The sequence below is a fragment of the Homo sapiens genome, chromosome 7 (assembly GCF_000001405.40).
Source record: "Homo sapiens chromosome 7, GRCh38.p14 Primary Assembly".
Taxonomy (NCBI): domain Eukaryota; kingdom Metazoa; phylum Chordata; class Mammalia; order Primates; family Hominidae; genus Homo; species Homo sapiens.
Window position 1 is genome coordinate 2,537,365 of NC_000007.14, and position 18,915 is coordinate 2,556,279.

At 55.0% G+C, this 18,915-nt stretch overlaps 1 protein-coding gene and 1 pseudogene across 21 annotated transcripts, besides 4 other annotated features; both read right to left on the minus strand.

Moving 5' to 3' along the window:
• BRAT1 (BRCA1 associated ATM activator 1) lies at positions 446–18,160 on the minus strand. Of its 21 annotated transcripts, none has more exons than NR_146879.2 (15): positions 18,118–18,160; positions 16,941–17,083; positions 9,960–10,114; positions 7,545–7,692; positions 6,226–6,598; positions 5,840–5,959; positions 4,756–4,847; positions 4,354–4,472; positions 3,934–4,120; positions 3,615–3,688; positions 3,407–3,530; positions 2,422–2,524; positions 2,180–2,278; positions 1,815–1,987; positions 446–1,400 (listed from the first exon to the last, which is right to left on the minus strand). NR_146879.2 is itself a non-coding variant. In XM_011515179.3 (15 exons), exons 2-15 carry the CDS (start codon positions 17,065–17,067, stop codon positions 705–707), a joined length of 2,727 nt encoding a protein of 908 aa, XP_011513481.1. In that variant the 5' UTR covers positions 17,068–17,083; positions 18,123–18,160; the 3' UTR covers positions 446–704. The 21 variants fall into 21 exon arrangements, 20 of the variants coding, with proteins under 20 accessions (XP_011513481.1, XP_011513483.1, XP_011513479.1 ...); XM_011515179.3 differs by having other exon boundaries at positions 446–1,580; positions 2,422–2,543; positions 3,466–3,530; positions 7,545–7,689; positions 18,123–18,160; XM_011515181.3 differs by having other exon boundaries at positions 2,422–2,543; positions 3,466–3,530; positions 18,123–18,160.
• Positions 9,849–10,015: a silencer, noted in NCBI's record as "fragment chr7:2586847-2587013 (GRCh37/hg19 assembly coordinates)". NCBI's record gives its function as "represses an EF-1alpha promoter that drives an FKBP-Casp9 reporter gene in an ReSE screen in HepG2 liver carcinoma cells {active_cell/tissue: HepG2}" and the evidence as "EXISTENCE:reporter gene assay evidence [ECO:0000049][PMID:32094911]".
• On the minus strand, positions 13,506–13,601 carry LOC124901849 (uncharacterized; annotated as a pseudogene).
• Positions 17,915–18,154: a silencer, noted in NCBI's record as "silent region_17879". NCBI's record gives its function as "represses an Ori minimal core promoter by ATAC-STARR-seq in GM12878 lymphoblastoid cells {active_cell/tissue: GM12878}" and the evidence as "EXISTENCE:reporter gene assay evidence [ECO:0000049][PMID:35858748]".
• Positions 17,915–18,744: a biological region, named in NCBI's record as "H3K27ac-H3K4me1 hESC enhancer GRCh37_chr7:2595065-2595742".
• Positions 18,067–18,744: an enhancer, noted in NCBI's record as "H3K27ac-H3K4me1 hESC enhancer chr7:2595065-2595742 (GRCh37/hg19 assembly coordinates)". NCBI's record gives its function as "activates a minimal SCP1, AML or CMV promoter by ChIP-STARR-seq in naive H9 embryonic stem cells {active_cell/tissue: H9 hESC(naive)}" and the evidence as "EXISTENCE:reporter gene assay evidence [ECO:0000049][PMID:30033119]".

The window sequence follows — 18,915 nt, forward strand, 5'->3', positions numbered from 1 at the left end:
CCTCCCGAAGTGTTGGAATTACAGGCGTGAGCCACTGCGCCCAGCCCCCAGGAATAATTTTAACCAAAATAAATTGGCCGGGCGGAGTGGCTCACGCCTGTAATCACAGCACTTTGGGAGGCTGAGGTGGGTCAATCACCTGAGGTCAGGAGTTCGAGACCAGCCTGGCTAACATGGTGAAACTCCGTTTCTACTAAAAATACAAAAAAATTAGCCAGGCATGGTGGCGTGCGCCTGTAATCCCAGCTACTCGGGAGGCTGAGGCAGGAGAATCACTTGAACCCAGGAGGCAGAGGTTGCAGTGAGCCGAGATCGTGCCATTGCACTCCAGCTTGGGCAACAAGAGCGAAACTCCATCACAAAAAACAGACAGACAGACAGATAGATAAAAAATAAACAGTGCTGGGAAAACTGGATATCCACATGCGAATGAATGACACTGGACCCTTGTCTCAGATCATTATTATTAAATTAACTCAAAAAGGGTTAAAGAAAGACTTCAATGCCATTTATTTTGAGTAGAAATAAGTCATTTCTTTAATACATCAAACTGTGGGATTTCTTGACCTTGCTTCTCTCCTGGTCCTGGCTTCCCCAGAGGATCCACCGGGCTGGGCTGGAGCCCTGGGGCTGGCAGTGTCCCACAGAAGGACATGGTGCTGCCTCCCTTGGTCCTGAGCCCCAGTGGCAGACTCTGGTTCTGCTCAGTAGCAGTCGGCCTCGTCCCCCTGCAGGAAGCCTCCCGTGGCCAGCATGTCCTGCAGGAGGGACTGGGGACTCTTTTCCACGTGGTCGCTGCTCTCGGCCAGCGTGCTCCGCAGGCCCTCCAGGTCTAGGGACCTGAGCATGGCCAGCACAGCCTCAGGCTCCTGGTCCCCTGGGGGCTGGGCCTGCTCACCCGCCCGCCACCTCGGCAGGGTGGCCTCTGCGGAGGCAGTGTTGGGGCTGCCCCTGGCCTCCCGCAGGCTGCTGTAGGAAGCAATCTTGTCCCTCAGGAAGAGAAGGAGGTCACAAGACTTCTGCGCCACAGGGCGGTCGCAGTCAAACAAGGCACAAAAGGCGAAGTCAAAGAGCCCCACGTGGCAGAGAGCCCTCAGTGCCTCGGTGAGTGGCTGGGCTGGGGCCACCTCGGGTAGGGCCACGGCATAGGGGCAGTGGGTACGCGGCGGCCCCAAAGTCTGGCCCAGGAACACGAGGGCCAGCTCCAGGCCCTGGGCGCGGACCTCCCAGTCCAGGTCTCGGCTCGCCGCCTGCAGCACAGTGGCCACGAACTGCTCCGTGTCCTGGGCCGCGTCGGCGTGGCCGTCCCGCAGCCACTCAGTGAAGACTTGCATGACCGCCCGCCGTGGGAAGCCCTCCGAGTCTACGGAGAGGATGTGCAGGAGCTCCAGGAACAGGCTCTGGGGGACAGGGAGCAAGTGCGGATGGTTGGTGGGGTGGCAGGAGCGAGGCTCCCGCAACAGGACTCCGGTACATGATGGGGGCTGGCCCCGGACATGCAGTCTAGGGCCACAGCCCGCTCTGACACCTTCCCATGCTGCGCAGTGAGCACACGGCCCTCCAATCCTCAGTTTACCCATCTGTCAAATGGAGGTAACCATGTCTAAGTGGAGGGGTGCTGGGGAGACAGAAGGCGAAGCGCACAGGTCCCACACCCAGCACAGCCCCAGGGCCTCGGCAGTCACTGCTGCAGGCGCTGCCCACAGCAGCAGCTGCTCCCACGCTGCATGCTGGCCGCTCGACCACCCGCAAGCAAACGAGCACACACGATGGCCAGGCGGGAGTTGCTGGCTGAGGAACCTGCCACCTCCTACCTGCCGGGCCTCTGCATGCTCAGGGCTGGTGGGGGCGTGCAGGCCCTGGCTGGACAGCTGCCCCATGGCGGTCACTGCACTCGCTCGGACATAACTCTCAGGGTCCTGGAGGAGCTGCAGGGCCAGCTGAGGCACCTCTGAAGCCAAGAGTGCGCATCTGAAGTCAGCCTGTCCTGGGGGTCGAAACGGCCACATGCAGCTGTGACTGAGGGCCGAGCCTTGTCGCCTCGGCCTCTGCCTCCATCCCCTTGTGGGCAGCCGACATGGCCCAAGTTTCTAGAGCCAGCAAGAGGCTGCTGGTGCACCCTGGCTCAGTGAGCCCCCCACAGGCGGGGAAGGCAGCCCCTCCACCTGCCAGCACTCACCTCCCCAGTGCCTGCTCAGCTGGGTCAGGAACTCGAGGGCGGAGTCCCTCACCTCCCAGCAGGGGTGGCACAGGCGTTTCTGCAGCACAGGGAACAGCTCTAGGGTGGGAAGGGACAGGTCAGGGTGACCTTGGGGCCAGGCTCACCCTGCCCTCAGAGCCAGCTGAGCCATTCCACCCAGCCCCTGCTGCCTCCACCCCTGCGACTCCAGCTCCGTTCACCCCTGCAAGGGGCTGCGTTACCTCTGAGGAACTGCGGGATGAGGGGGCCGAGATCAGAGCAGCCGGGGGTCTTGGGTGAGCTCAGGAGCCACCTGAGCGTGGCCTGGAAGGCCTTCTTCAGAACCTGGAGCAGATAGGGTGGGCTGCAGGGCCACGGGAGACGGAGGGGCAGGCTGTCTGTCTGTCCCCCTCGCCTTCACCTGTGCTGCCCGTACTCCAGGGACAGCAATGGGGACAGGAAGTGGAGAGAGAAGGGAACGCTGGGCTTCCTTCTTTTTTAGAGACAGGGTCTCAATGTGTCATCCAGGCTGGACTGCAATCACAGTTCACTGCAGCCTCCACCTCCCAGGCTCAAACAGTCCTCCTGCCTCAGCCTCATGAGTAGCTGGGGCTAGAGGCACACATCACCACGCCTGGCTAATTTTTGCAGTCAAATGCTCTACCCCTGAGCTATACTCCTGGGGCTAATTTTTCTATTTTTTTGTAGAGATGGGATCTTGCTATGTTGCCCAGGCTGGCCTCAAAAGTCCTGGGCTCCATTGATCCCCCCACCTCGGCCCCCCAACGCACAGTAATCACAGCTGTGAGCCCCACGCCCCTCCTGGGCTGATTTTAATAGGGCAGAATATGCTGCAGAACCGGCTTCCCAGACTGTGAGCAGGAGGAGGTGGTGGCAGCCCTCACCAGAAGACCCACAACCCAGGCAACGGGATTTCTACATCAAAACATGACCAATTACGCAGGGCACCTTTTCCTTAGGATCCCAAGAAGCCCTGGGCCCTTCCTCCAAAGTTGTCTGCTGTCTGCTCAGCGGCAGGTGGCACAAGGTCTGTACCTGCCAGGGCCCAGCTCCGTGAGGGGCTGTGGAGTAGGCACATTCACAAATGGCGCTTAGGAGAACCCAAAGCCCACGCCCAGGGCCGTCTTGGTGCCACCTCATTTCCCTTGTCCAGAATTCCCCGCAGGCCGCCTGACCAGTGCCCCTGCTCCCCACGGCCCCACACACCCCTGCGTGCTGATGTATCTTCACCAACAAGAGGCCCTGGGCCCGCCCCATGCAGCCACCTGCATCGTGAAGCTCTCTGAGCAGCAGCTCTGTGGCCCTGTGTGAAGGCCCCATCCGCAGAGGCCTGCACGGGACGGGGTGGAGTCAGGGGTGGGTCCCACTGCCTCTGCCTCCCTCCTCTCCTCGCTCTCTATCCCCACCACCGTACCGTGGGGCTGGAGCCGGGGCTCTCGAGGCACTCCAGGAGGACAGCAAGCGCCTGCGTCACCAGCTCCTGGGGGCCTGAGACAGAGGTGAGTGGATAAACCACCCCCACCCCCACCCTAGGACCCTCCCCATCAACTCTGGGAAGGAGCAGAACAAGGCCTCATCCGCCAGCTGAAACCTCCTGCACGGCCCCTGCACCCCTCAGCCCCCACCCCAGAGAAGAAACAGAGAGGGACAGCAGTTCCCGGGTGCCTCCGAGCAGAAAGGAGAGTGGGGGCACAGGGATAGCCCCACGCCAAAGCCGTACAGAACACACTCACCTGTCCCCTGTGACAGCGTCCCCAGGAAGTCGAGGGCTGCTCGCTGGACCCGGACGCAGCCCGCCAGGGTCCCACAGAGGTGGCCCCCCACACTGGAGGCAGGGGCAGCCGAGCCGTCACAGAGCCGCAGGACAGTCACTGTAGCCCCCAGTAGAGACGCCTGGGGCCACGGTGAAGGGCGCTGGGGCTGCGAGGAAGAGGGCCGTCAGCCAAGGTTGCGGTCCCACTGCCGGCGTGGATGCAGGGGTGCTGGGACTTCGAGGCATGTGGGGCGGGGGACATCAGCCAAGGTTGTGGTCCCACTGCTGGCGTGGATGCAAGGGTGCTGGGGCAGCAAGGGGTGGGGGGCGTCAGCCTACGTTGCGGTCCCACCGCCAGCGTGGATGCTGCTGGGCTGCATGAGGACCGGGCCGCACCTACCAGCGGCTGCAGCTCCTCCAGGTGAGCCAGGGTGCGGCACAGGAGGCCGGCGCAGGACGACTTGGAGGCCAGGAGTGTGTCCACCGTCGTGGCATCGTCTGCCGTCCCGTCCAGCAAGCCTGGGGGCCAAGCCAGGAAGAGCTCCCTTAGAGAGCACTTCAGCCTCCCCACGGTCACCAGCCACCCCACGGTCACCACCCACAGCACAGGCCAGGACCTAGGTGCAGAGCAGCAGCTCACCAGGGGAGATGGCCATGTCCCCGGTCCCCTTTGCTCTTGGAGGGAGGCCTGGGTGTGATTAAAGTGGGGCGGGGGTGGCGAGCCAGCTACTCTCATCCATCTCCCTTCCCCCAGCCGCAGGGACCCAGGTTCTGCCCTCCCAGCCCTTTCTAAGCAGCACACCTGGGGGTCCGGGGGCCTGAACCGTGGCCTTCAGGACACAGGCCAGGGGCTGGAGAAGGACCTGGAAGGCCTGGGTCCTCAGTGCCTGTGGACTGGAGACAAACGCGAGGTGAGTGCCGCGACCCTGGCTGCGAGACAAGTTGGCTGTGCTCCTAATGTCCCCAGCAAGCCTGGGGCAAATCAGCCAGGGGGTTGGGACACCCCCCGAGAAACATTCTCTGCAGGCCACTGGCCAGGGGATGCCATGGGACAGAGTGGCGGGGAGGACAGGCCTGACCAAGGAGATGGGCCTGACACTCCTGATGTCCTTAGGAGCAGATACTGAGGGGCCTCCAGGAGGGCCTGGCCATGCACCCAGAGAGAGGGGCAGTGCCCGCTCAGGGGGACAGGGATGGGGTGCCCCCAGGTGTGTACAGCGTCCACTCTGTGGGAGGGACCTGCCCTCACGTCTGGGCCTAGGTGGAGGCAGTGTCCCCACAATGCATTCCTGCAGGGCCGGGCCTGTTCCTCCATCCTCCCCCGGTCTACTCTCTCCTAAACATTCGGAGACCCCGGAGCTCAGAGCTGGACCCTCATGGTACCCCTGGGCCCTGTGGGCAGCAGGTCCTGAGGTCACTTCCACCCCTATTGTGAGCCCACCTGGAACACTGGCAGGCCATCCACGGCCTTCCCACCTGTCCTGACCCCAGGCTCTGCCGTTGCACCGCCCCCAGGCCCCCCACCCGCATGGTGTGTGTGCTGGGGAGCTCCGAAACCCCCAACCAAAGCTGCGGTGGGGGACAGGTGGGAGGGCAGCGGAGCGCAGGGCGTCGGCAGGACCACCCTGCTCTGAGCAGAGCAGCTCCCGCATCCTTCTCACCTCTGGGGATCTCGCAGAGCTTTGGTCTGAAACAATTATTCTGTTGCTAAAGAACCTTCAGAAGCTGCCGCGCGCAACCCACGCACCACCCAGTCACACCCCGCACGGCCGCCTGACTGTCCCTGGTGTCCGGAACTCCCCTGCCATGAGGGCTGCGCTCTCAACCTCCCTGCCTGCCCCAGCTCCCAGCACCCGCCTCGGAATGAAATGCACCCCAGACCATACCAGTGCTCGAGCTTCAGGATCCCCAAAGCCAGGGGTCCCATGTGGGTGGGACCCAGGCAGCTCAGAGCCCGCGCCACTGTCTCCCACAGGCTGCCGTCGGAAGAACTGAACACGGGAGAACTGCAGGGAGACCCCAGAGAGAAAAATTACTCCCCCACCCTCAAAACCCCATTCGAGGCCTGGCTGAGACTGCCATGGCTCCGGCACTGGAGGCGCCCAGCCCAAGACAGGCCTTTCCCCATGAGGGTTCCAGGGTCACCCCGGTGCCGCTTCACTGCAGGCCATGTCCTCAGAGAGTCTCCGGCTGCCAGTGGGACATCCCTGGGCGTTATCCGAGGAAAACAGTTGCCCACCCAGGCCCCCCAGCTGCGTCCCGGGGCCCTGACCGAGCCACACAGAGAAGCAGGTCCACGAACGAGTGTGCGGCGGGGATGGGGTCTCTCTCCAGCAGACAGGCCACGCGGGGACTCAGCCGCACCCACAGGGCTTCCGTCCAGGGGCTCTGGCAGCGCCCGAAGGTCGTGGTCAGGACGTTCAGGGCCTGAGTGACCTTGGGGGTGGCCGCGGAGCACAAGGACTCTTCAACGTGATCCATGATCTTCTGGGCACACGCGGGCCAGTCACCCCCCGGCAGGCAGGGCTGCCCCTCGGCTCCACCTCGCATGGACAAAGCCAGGACGTGCACCAGGAGCTGACTGGCCGCCGAGGCCACAAACAGGCTGGAGTCTCCCTGCAGGGAGAAGATGGTGTCGACCGCACCTGGGTAGGGGATGGGGGAAGAGAGGGAAAAGGGGGTGAGCCAGAATAGAGCTGGGGGAGGCAGAGGGCCTCAGGGAAGATACAAATAGCAGAGGGCCCCCCAAGATGCCCCCAAATGCCTCTCCACTCAAAAGCAAAAAAGAACAGGAACTGAAGCTCCCTGGAGACAAGCACCTCCTCCCCCCGAGCGTTAAACACACACAGCTTGTGATGCTTCCCAATTCGTTCCTTCTTGTTGTTTTTTTTTTTTTTTTTTTTGAGACAGAGTCTTGTTCTGTTGCCCAGGGTGGAGTACAATGGTGCGATCTCAGTTCACTGCAACTTCCACCTCCCAGGTTCAAGCCATTCTGCCACCTCAGCCTCCCAAGTAGCTGGGATTACAGGCACCCGCCATCATGCCCGGCTAATTTTTGTATTCTCGTAGAGACAGGGTTTCACCATGTTGGCCAGGCTGGTCTTGAACTCCTGACCTCAGGTGATCCACCCGCCTCGGCCTCCCAAAGTGCTGAGATTACAGGCGTGAGCCACCGTGCCCAGCCTCGTTTCTTGTTTTTTTGAGACGGGGTCTTGCTCTGTTGCCTAAGTTGGAGTGCAGTGGCTCAACCACTGCTCACTGTAGCCTCGAACCCCTGGGCTCAAGTGATCCTCTTGCTTCAGCCTCCCGAGTAGCTGGGACTATAGCCACGCATCACCACGCCTGGCTCCCAAATAGTTTCAAAGACTGAGTCCTCACGGCTGATCTGTAAGTGGCTGAGAAAGCCGTCCTGGCTCCTAGGGCCTGACCTGCCAACCAGAGAACACTGGACAGCCGTACTGTCACAGTGCAGTCTTTGCAACAACCCTGAGACATCGCACAGACCAGACACTCAGATTCAGCAAGGTGCAGTGAATTCCCTGGGATCACACAGGCAGGATGAGGAATGGGGTGGGGTGTGGGCGCACTCACCATGGTCGGCCAGGAAGCGCAGGGCGCTGGGGTGCTGTGCCAGGGAGCGCAGGCCCTGGATCCAGCCGCTGCGCACGGTGGGGACGGCCCAGGTTGCTCGGCCGAGGGGTCCTGGCTCCCCAAAGAGCCCTGGTAGTAACTCCCCCTGCTGGGAAGCAAAAAAAGAAGTGAGGGTGGCCAGGCGCAGTGGCTGAAGCCTGTAATCCCAGCACTTTGGGAGGCCGAGGAGGGCAGATCACGAGGTCAGGAGTTCGAGACCAGCCTGACCAACATGGTGAAACCCCATCTCTACTAGAAATACAAAAATTTGCTGGGTGTGGTGGCATGCACCTGTAATCCCAGCTACTAAGAAGGCTGAGGCAGGAGAATTGCTTGAACCCGGGAGGCGAAGGTTGCAGTGAGCCAAGATCGCACCACTGCACACCAGCCTGGGTGACACAGCGAGACTCCATCTCAAAAAAAAAAAAAAAAAAAAAAAAAAAGAGGTGAGGGGACCTGGTAGGTTTCCAGGGATGTGGAGCAAAGCAGAGATGGGTTTTCAGTTTTCCAGGGCTGGTGGAGATACTTCTGGAGGACACTTTCTTCTTCTTTTTTTTTTTTTTGAGACAGTCCCACTCTGTTGCCTAGGCTGGAGTGCAGTGGCACATCTCGGCTCACTGCAACCTCTGCCTCCTGGGCTCAAGCTATTTTCCTGTCTCAGCCTCCTGAGTAGCTGGCATTACAGGTGCCCACCACCACACCCAGCTAATTTTTTCATTTTTAGTAGAGACAGGGCTTTACCATGTTGGTTAGCCTGGTCTCGAACTCCTGACCTCAGGTGATCCGCCTGCCTCAGCCTCCCAAAGTGCTGGGATTATAGGCATGAGCCACCGTGCCCAGCCTGGAGGGTACTTTCATACCAGCTGCTGACAGACAAGGGCCCCCGGATTCACTGTACGGCAGCACCCTAGGACACCTTGGAAAGTCTGTCCTGCAGCAAGATGGTGCCTGGGTGGGCTGCTAGGGAGCCTGCAGCTGCTTAACTGGGGGGCATCGTGAACGGCAAGCTAACGGTACTGGATGTGCCTTCGCACAACCTGGCGAGGGCCTGTGAGGCACCAAGAGAAGCCGTCGTGGTAGACGGGCAAGGGCCCTGAAGCTCACACCACGCATCCCGACAGACTCAGCGGTGCCTGTCTGAGGCACTTGAAGCTGGAAGACACAGCTCTGGGAGGCTCTCGAGCTCTCATGCCTTGCTATGTAGAAATTCTTGGCTGGGAGCAGTGGCTCACGACTGTATCCCAACACTTTGGGAGGCCGAGGCAGGATGATCGCTTGAGACCAGGAGTTTGAGACCAGCCTGGGCAACATAGTGAGACCCCATCTCTACCAAAGATAACAAAGTTAGCCAGGTGTGGTTCATGCACCTGTGGACCCAGCTACTCGGGAAGCTGAATGGGGAGGGTCACTTGAGCCCAGGAGGTCAAGGCTGCAGTGAGCTGCCACTGCACTCCAGCCTGGACGACAGAGCAGGACTCTGTCTCTAAAAAACAAAACAAAAAAAGGCCGGGTATGGTGGCTCACGCCTGTAATCCTAGCATTTTGGGAGGCCGAGGCAGACGGATCACTTGAGGTCAAGGAGTTCGTGATCAGCCTGGCCAAAATGGTGAAATCCTGTCTCTACTAAAACTACAAAAATTAGCTGGGCGTGGTGGCAGGTGCCTGTAGTCCCAGATACTCGGGAGGCTGAGGCAGGAGAATCGCTTGAACCTGGGAGGTGGAGACTGCAGTTAGCTGAGTTCGAACCATTGCACTCCAGCCTGGGTGACAGAGCAAGACTCTGTCTCGAAAAATAATAATAAAATAAAATAAAAATAAATAAAATTAATTTTTTAAAAAAAAGACATTCTCATTAGTCATTCACATTCTCATTAGTTATTCATTCATTTGTAGGCTGGGTCGCTGGAGGTGCAGGATGTGCGGTCTCATTTGGTCCTCACGACAACCCCACGGCGCAGCTACGACTCCTGTCTCCGTCCCAGGAAGAGACGGGGGCCACGGGGCAGCTACGACTCCTGTCTCCGTCCCAGGAAGAGACGGAGGCCACGGCGCAGCTGCGACTCCTGTCTCCGTCCCAGGAAGAGATGGAGGCTTGCGGCCGTGGGCAAGCTCAGACAGCTGGTCAGAGCTGGGAGCCCGTGCCAGTCATCTTATTCCAAAAAACCTCAACTCCTTAGCCCCAGCATCACTCCGGGCGAATTTTTCAAAGGGGGCTACAGTCGGGGGTAAAAAACATGCAGTTCTAGTGAGGACACAGGGTCGGGGCAGGCCGCTGGGACTTGGGATGGTGATGGCTACAAATGCCCCACCTGGCTGCGGGAGGAAAAGCCTGCCCACCTCTCCACGGGACACTCAGGTGGGAGGCCCCAGGCTCACCTGAAGATACTGGAAGCAGTTTTCCTGGGCTGCGAAGGTTCCTGCCAGGCGCAGTGAGAAGGAGAGGACCCCAGAACTCAGGTCCTGGACTTTCAGCACATGGGACAGCAGCTCCACCAGGCAGGGGTGCTCCTGCAGCAGCACGACACTGGACTCTGTGGGGATGGCCCAGCCCAGGGGTCACCAGGGGTACGGCACCAGGTGTCCCCCTGGATGACCGCTCTTCTCCTAGCAATTCCCAGACCCTTTTCTTGCAGGGTGTTAGATTTAGGGATCCAACTGGGAAAAAAATATCTGCAACAAATACGGCAAATGACTCATAATTTTAATTCAGTAAGGGCTAGAAAGCCAACACCTTAACAACAGGTGAAAGGCGGAACACTGTCACCTTTCACAACAGGTGAATGGCCAAAAATGCTGAAAAAATGTTCTGTCTCACTGATAGTGAAAAAGAAATGCAAATTAAAGTGAAAGACCAGGCTGGGCGTGGTGGCTCACGCCTGTAATCCCAACACGTTAGGAGGCCAAGGCGGGTGGTCACTTGAGCTCAGGAGTTCGAGACCAGCCTGGCCAACATGGCGAAGTCCCATCTCTACTAAAAATACAAAAAATTAGCCAGGTGTGGTGGCTCATGCCTGTAGTCCCAGCTAATTGGAAGGCTGAGGCAGGAGAATCGCTTGAACCTGGGAGGCAGAGGCTGCAGTGAGCCAAGACCACGTCATTGCACACGGCACACTCCAGCCCTGGGCGACAGAGCGAGACTCCATTCCAAAAAAAAAAAAAAAAAAAAGTGGAAGAGCATTTTCACCTTCCAAATGGGTACTTTTCCTTAGACAGTGCTCCATGCAAGCAGGTACAATGGAACAAACATTCCTCTCCAGAACTGGCATCCTGTATTTCTATAACCAGCTATGCTATCGCTCAAAAGCACCAGTGGGGGAAAAAGACATTTTGAGGCAAAGGTTGGGAGAGTTTCCCAGTGAGAAGCCCCTGTGGAAAGAATGTGGTTCAGTAAGGAGAGTGAGGAGCATGCAGAGGAGGAGAACCAGGCCAGGACCCAAAAAGCACTATGTCCACCTGAATCAGCACTGCAGGCTGGGTGAGGTGCTCATACCTGTAGTCCCAGCACTTTGGGAGGCCAAGGCAGGAGAACAACATAGCAAGACCCTGTCTCTACAAAAAATAAAAAAAAATTAGCCCGGCATGGTGGCACACATCTGCAGTCCCAGCTACTCAGGAGGCTGAGACGGGAGGATTGCTTGAGCCCAGGAGTTCGAGGCTGCAGCAAGCTATCACTGCACCACTGTACTCCAGCCTGGGCGACAGAGGGAGACCCTGTCTCTCTAAAAAAAAAAAAGGCGGGGCGTGGTGGCTCACGCCTGTAATCCCAGCACTTTTGAAGGCCAAGGCAGGCAGATCACGAGGTCAGGAGATTGAGACCATCCTGGCAAACATGGTGAATGAAACCCTGTCTCTACTAAAATATAAAAAATTAGCCAGGCATGGTGGCGGGCGCCTGTGGTCCCAGCTATTTGGGAGGCTGAGGCAGGAGAACTGCTTGAACTCGGGAGGTGGAGGTTGCGGTGAGCCGAGATCGCACCACTGCACTCCAGCCTGGTGACAGGGCAAGACTCTGTCTCAAAAACAAACAAACAAACAAACAAAAAACAATGCCACTGAGTTCAAAATCTAAAAAATCATTGTTGAAGGGTTTTGAAACAAAACAGAATTAAAATACTAACGACAATAATAGAAGGTTGTGATGGCCTGAAGTTCAAGTGCTCTGAGGTCCTTCGGTTGCCTGGATAGAGAATGGAAAGTCTAATTAACTTCAGACTTTTTAAAAAATCCGGTTCTCATGTTAAAAATATAAGGGTAGCCACTGAAGAACACAAATAAGCCTGTGGTCCCAGCATCTTGAGAGGCCGAGGTGGGCAGATTGCCTGAGCCCAGGAGTTTTAAGACCAGCTTGGGCAACACAGGAAGATCCCCTCTCTATAAAAATTCGCTGGGCATGGTGGCGCGCATCTATAGTCCCAGCTACACTGGAAGCTGAGATGGGAAGATCACCTGAGCCCAGGAGGTCAAGGCTGCAGTGAGCCGTGATTACACCACTGTCCTGGACAACAGCACAAGAACTTGTCTAAAAAGAAGAACATAAATAGAATGTATAACTTCAAAACCAGAAGAGGAAAGATTTAAAAGAAAAAAAAAAGCTTTATCAATCTGATGGAGGGCAGAAAAGGAGGATAAAGGCACAAAGGTAAGGCACAGGAAATTAAAAAATACAAAAGAATTCAAATCTAACAGTCGCCTCAACAAATTAAAGAGATCAAACTTATCTGTTAAAAGAAAGAGTTGCTGAGATTAAATTAAACACTAAAAACAAGCAATGTGGTGTTTCTAAAAGCAATAAAATGCAACGACAGGAAAGGCTGGGAGCAGGAGAGAAAAGACACAGTAGGCAAATTCTAACTTTAAAGAAGCTGATGTAGCAACAGAAATAGCAAACAAAATGGGCTGTAAAGCAAAAAGCAGTATTCATGCAGAAGTAAGTTAACTGATCACGGAGATAAATTCCAGAAAGACACAACATTCCTACATCTATGTATACCTAACCTCACTTCAAAACGTGTAAAGCAGCCTGGGCAACGTGGTGAAACCCCGTCTCCGCAAAAAAATACAAAAAATTAGCTGGGTGTGGTGGTGTGTCCCTGTAGTCCCAGCCATCCAGGAGGCTGGGGTGGGAGGATCACTTGAGCCCAGGAAGTTGAGGCTACAGTGAGCCGTGATCACACCACTGCACTCTAGCCTGAGTGACAGAGTGAGACCCTGTCTCCAAAAAAAAAAGAAAAAAAAAATGCCAGGCACAGTGCCTCACACCTGTAATTGCAGCGATTTGAGAGGCCAAGGCGGGCAGACTGCTTGAGCCCAGGAGTTTGAGACCAGCCTGGGCTACATAGTGAAACCCCGTCACTACAAAAAATACAAAAACTTAGCCGGGCGTGGTGGCGGGCTCCTGTGGTCCCAGCTATTAGGGAGGCTGAGGTGAGAGAATCATCTGAGCCCAAGAAGTCGAGGCTGCAGTGAACCGAGATCATGCCACTGCACTCCAGCCTGGGCAATAGAGCAAGACTCCATCTCAAAAAAAAAAAAACAAAAAAAAAAAAAGAAAGAAAAGAAAAAGAAAAAAATAATATGTAAAGCGAAAAAAAAAAAAAGGATGCATCTCAAAGAAAAATCATGAATCCATGATCTTGGTGTAAGCTTTTTACACACCTCTCAGAAACAAGCAAACAAATTAGCAAGAACATAGCAGGTCTGAACTAATGAACGAGTGTGGAAACTACACTCTTTCCATCAAGTACAATGCAGGAGAAATGACAGAGGCTGGGAGGGAGGAGGAAACAGGGACTCACTGTGAACCCAGACTCGGTTTCTTTAGGGGGAACAAAATTAGATTGTGCTGATGATTTCAGAGCCCTGTAAATTTACTAAGAACTGTTGAATTGGTACCATTTATTTATTTATTTTGTCCATTTCTCATGTCAGACGGGTCACGTACCGACATCATACCAGGGTTCCATGGTGCCACATCTCACACATGCGCCTGAACACTCAATTATCATGCTTAGGTTGGGTGCAGTGGCTCTCCACTGTAACCCCAGCACTTTGGGAGGCCAAGGTGGAGGGATCACCTGAGGTCAGGAGTTCGAGACCAGCCTGGCCAACATGATGAAATCCCACCTCTACTAAAAATACAAAAATTGGCCGGGCATGGTGGCATGCACCTTTAATCGCAGGTACTCAGGAGGCTGAGGCAGGAGAATCGTTTGAAACCCAGGAGGCGGAGGTTGCAGTGAGCCAAGATTGTGCCATTGCACCCCAGCCTGGGCAACAGAGCAAGACTTGGTCTCAAAAAAAAAAAAATCTATATCTATATATATATCTATATATAGATATATATATATCTCATGCTTACAAACTGTAAAAGGATCTGGTACACCTTAAATGGGAGAATGGCATGGTATGCAAATTATATCTCAATAAAGCTACTGAAAAATACTTCTTAAAATTTAAATACAGGCCAGGCATGGTGGCTCGCTCCTGTAATCCCAGCACTTTGGGAAGCCCAGGCGGGAAGACTGCTTGAGCCCAGGAGTTCCAAGCTGGCCTGGACAAGATGGTGAGACCTCATCTCTATGGGAAAAAAAAAAATAGCTGGGCCTGGTACACACCTTGATCCCAGGAACTCAAGAGAATGAGGCAGGCGGACTGCCCAGGAGGTCAAGGCTGCAGTGAGCCGTGTTCACGCCATTGCACTCCATCCTGGGTGACGCGCAAAAACCCTGGCTCAAAAAAAAAAAAAAAGAAAAAGAAAAACTGACTACTACAAACTAGGCCACAGTTGAAGACCTTCAAATACCAAAACATCAAAATCATATAGTGAAATCTCTAGAACATTGAGAAAACTCGCCTGGGTCCTATGTCTCAATAAAAGTCTCAACAGCTATAAAGATTCAAAACATATGTTATGTTTTCTAACCTCCACAAAGTAAATTAAAAATCAATAATAAAAAGACTGGAAAAATCCATATTTTGAAACTAAAGGATACTCTTTTAAGTAACTTGTGGGTGAAAAAAAAATTATAATGAAAAGCATAAAATACTCAGAACTAAATTAAAACCAAAGTACTGCAATGTAAAACGTGTAAGATGTAGCTAAAGTCATACTTTTAGAGAAATGCATAGTCTTAAATATATATATATATATATATATATATTTTTTTTTTTTTTTTTTTTTTTTTTTTGAGACAAGAGTCTCACTCCATTGCCCTGGCTGGAGTGCAATGGCGTTATCTCGGCTCACTGCAACCTCTGCCTCCCAGGTTCAAGTGATTCTCCTGCTTCAGCCTCCCGAGTAGCTGGGATTACAGGCATGGACCACCATGTCAGGCTAATTCTTGTATTTTTAGTAGAGACGGGGTTTCACCATGTTAGCCAGGCTGGTCTCCAACTCCTGACCTCAAGTGATCTGCCTGCCTCAGCCTCCCAAAGTGCTGGGATTATAGGCATGAACCACCGTGCCTGGCCTTAAATATATATATTAGAAAACAAGGAAGACCTAGATATTTAGCTCAAAGAGGGTAAAAGGCACTTTGGGAAGCAGAGGCAGGTGACTGCCTGAGCCCAGGAGATCGAAAACAGCTTGGGCAATACGGTGAGACCCCATCCTTAAAAAAAAAAATACAATATAATTTAAAAATAAAAAGAATAAAAGAACACGGTAAACCAAAAAAAGGAAGTAAAGAATAGCAGAAATTAACAACATGCAGTCTATCCCAATGCAATTATCAACCATGAGAATAAACATTTACATGCGAGAATATTTATGTAAAAGGAAAGCCATTATGACACTATTTTTTTTTTTTTGAGACGGAATCTCGCTCTGTCGCCCAGGCTGCAGTGCAGTGGCGTGATCTCGGCTCACTGCAAGCTCTGCCTCCTGTGTTCACGCCATTCTCCTGCCCAGCCTCCCAAGTAACTGGGACTACAGGCGCCCACCACCACGTCTGGCTATTTTTTTTTTTTTTGTATTTTTAGTAGAGACGGGGTTTCACCATGTTAGCCAGGAGGGTCTTGATCTCCAGACCTCGTGATCTGCCTGCCTCGGTCTCCCAAAGTGCTGGGATTACAGGCTTGAGCCACCGCGCTCGACTGACACTATTTTTTTGAGACAGAGTCCATTCTGTCGCTGGAGTGCAGTGGCACGATCTGGGCTCACTGCAACCTCCGCTTCCTGGGTTCAAGCGATCCTCCCCCTCAGTCTCCCAAGTAGCTGGGATTACGGCGCATGCCACCATGCCCGGCTAATTTTTTTATTTTTAGTAGAGACGAGGTCTCACCATGTTGGCCAGGCTGGTTTCGAACTCCTGACTTCAAGTGACCTACCCGCCTTGGCCTCCCAAAGTGATGGGATTACAAGCATGAGTCACCGCGCCTGACCTATGACACTACTTAAAATGATGAAAAATGAGAAATATAAACATCTGACAGTGGAGTGATTCAATTAATTATGGTCTATTCCTACAGCAAATAACATGTAGTCAATAACATTAACATATTATGTGGAGAAAACACTCACTATGATAGCAAGAGAGAAAGCAAGACACCAAAATTGTGTTTACAGTATGACCTCATTTTTTTTTCCCCAGAAAAATACAGCTTTATGTGTTATGAAAAGGCTGGGAGTAAATTAAAACGTTGATGGTTTAATTTTCCTCTTTACTCTTTTGTTCATGTTTTAAAGAACATGTATTACTTTGTTTTTTTTTTTTGAGACAGGGTCTCACTCTATCACCCAGGTCAGGGTGCAGTGGCACAATCATAGCTCACTGCAACCTCTACCTCCCGGACTCAAAGGATCCTCCCATCTCAGCCTCCAGAGTAGCTGGGACTACAGGTGCGCCACCAGGCACAGCTAATTTTTGTTTTTTTTTTTTTTAGAGATGACGTCTCGCTATGTTGGACCAGGCTGGTCTTGAACTCCTGGACTTAAGCAATCCGCTCGCCTCAGCCTCCCAAAGTGCTGGGATTACAGGTATGAGCCACTGCATCCGGCCCCTACTTTCATAATCAGAAAGAAAACAAATCTGATGTCTTAAACACACTAAATACAACGAGAACAACAATAAAACAAGTTTGTTCACGCCTTCTGTAGAACTGAACCTTGGGGTGCCCTGATCGTGGCTCAACTGGCTGAATTTCAGGCTCTAACTCTCCAGATCATTCTCTCGGGCTTCATCTTAACTTGCCCTCAGTCTGCCACAGATAATCCTTAGGAAGTGAAGGAAAGACATCTGATTGGCAGTTTCTGCCCTTCCTCCAGGACAGGGGAGTCCCCATCTGGCCCCTGCTCCCTGTCCCAGCCTCTGCGTCTGGTCTCTGGATAGGCAGTAAACAGCAGCACCACCTCCTTACCTCCTTCAGTGACCGTTTTAAACCAGTCCAGGAGCTTCTCCAAACAGGTGTCATCTGCCACCGGCTGCCTGGGATCTACCAGAACAGCACAGAGAGCCGGGAGCAGCTGGGCGCATTCTGGGTCCATGGTGAGGCCGCAGGCCCTGCAAAGGCAATGTGAGAGCCAAACCTCAATGCCCACTCCAGACCCAGCTCGCTCTAGTCACAGCAGCCCACCATGCCTGCTCAGGCCTGGGAAGGGGCCCCAGAACTTTCATCTCAGACCAGGAGAACCATGATCCCCAGACCAGAGGTCTGTACTGCAGGGATGGATGCAAAGCTTTGGTCTAGGTGGGGCCCTGAGCGCTGGTGGCGGGGCTGAAAGGGGCAGATGAGGGTCTAGCTGAAACCACAAGGCCTCCGGAACTCAAAGTCTGTCACCCTTGGTCTTTGGTGCAGTCGGGGCAACAGCGTGGTGCTGGCCCAGGCTGCAGGTGGGCCAGAGTCAGGGGCATCTTTGAGTTCCGGGGTCAGCCATGTGTGCAAGGGGATGTCTACCCATGCCCCAGGGCCAGCCTGGGCTGGAAAGTTTCTGTCCCTCCCAGCGTCAAGTGGTGGCTGCATTTGACGTCCTGAAGCCAGCAGGGGGGTGCGGAGGGGAAGGGGCGCCTGTCCGTGTGTCTGTCCCTCTCAGGGTCAGTGGTGGCTGCATTTGCTGTTCTGCAGCCAGTAGGAGGGTGAGGAGGGGAAGGGGCACCTGTCCGTGTGTCTGTCCCTCCCAGGATTAGTGGTGGCTGCATCTGAAGCCGGCGGGGGGGAGAGGGGGGCGGCGGGGTGCGGAAAGGAAGGGGCGCCTGTCTCTCCCAGGACCAGGTGTGCATCCGTGCGTCCAGCCTCGGGGGTGGGCGGGGTGGTCAGCGGCTCTGTCTAACCGGGGCACCGTCTGCCAATGCCCGGGAAGGCTGCGTCCCGGGAAGAGGAACCCTCCCCACACTTTGAAGTCAGTTTTGGCCGCGAGCGCCAGGCCCGAGAGTCCAGAAGGGGCGCCAGAGCAGGCGGCCACAGTCGGGCTGGGAAGCGAGCCCAGGTCGCGCACGCCCCGGGCTGGGCTGCTCCCTGGCCCGCCCGCCCCCCTCGGCCGGGTCTTGGCCTCCCCGCGCCCCACTACCACGACCTCGACCCCCGAAGGCCCACGCGCCTCACCGCTCGGTTGCGTCCTCCGCCGCAACCACCCCTCGCCCAAGGCTCCGCCTCCGGACAGTGCCACCTGCCAGGCCCGGAGGAGGCGGAGGACGGAGACGGCTGGCGTGGGGAACTGAGACTGCACCCCTGGAGGCCGCTCTGGAAGCCTCGAGGGCCCAGACTTGAAGGAAGGAGTTCAAGCTGAGAGGGGCTGGGGACAGGCAGGCGCCAAGCCGGTCGCTCCGACAGATCACCCCCGCCAGGCGCCTAGTGGTTCATGCCGAGCATCCGGTGGGTGGGCGGGGCGTCTCGAGGGCGGGGATCTCTGAGGAAGGCGCGGGGTTGTGTCCGGAGGGGCGGGGCTTCGCCTGCAGGGCGCCCAGTGTCTGCACCGGCGGGAGCGAGAAAACTATGTGCCGGAGAGAAGCGTCCTGATCCGTGCACCAAAGCCCTTGGTCATTTAGCTTCAGGTTCTCAAATTAAGTCCTCCGCGGCCGCGCTGTGGCTCATGCCTGTAATTCCAGCCCTTTAGGAGGCGCAGTTGGGAGGATTGCTTGAAGCCAGGAGTTGAGACCAGCCTAGGCAACAAAGCGAGACCCCATCTCTTAAAATTTAAAAAAAAAAAAAAAAAAAAAAAAAAAGGCCAGGCGTGGTGGCTCACGCCTGTAATCCCAGCGCTCTGGGAGGCCCAGGCGGGCGGATCACGAGGTCAGGAGTTCGAGACCAGCCTGGCCAACATGGCGAAATCCCGTCTCGTCTCTAATTTTTGTATCTCTAAGATATCAAAATTAGCCGGACGTGGAGGCGCGCGCCT

Excerpts from the sequence above, each read along its gene's own strand:
- BRAT1 (XM_011515177.3), bottom strand. The coding sequence starts at position 17,067 with ATGGACCCAGAATGCGCCCAGCTGCTCCCGGCTCTCTGTGCTGTTCTG. Across the intron at positions 7,693-9,959 it reads ACTGCTTCCAGTATCTTCAG|CAGGGGGAGTTACTACCAGG; the intron begins GTGAGCCTGGGG and ends TTTGCTTCCCAG. Across the intron at positions 1,988-2,179 it reads GCTGAGCAGGCACTGGGGAG|GACAGGCTGACTTCAGATGC; the intron begins GTGAGTGCTGGC and ends TTCGACCCCCAG.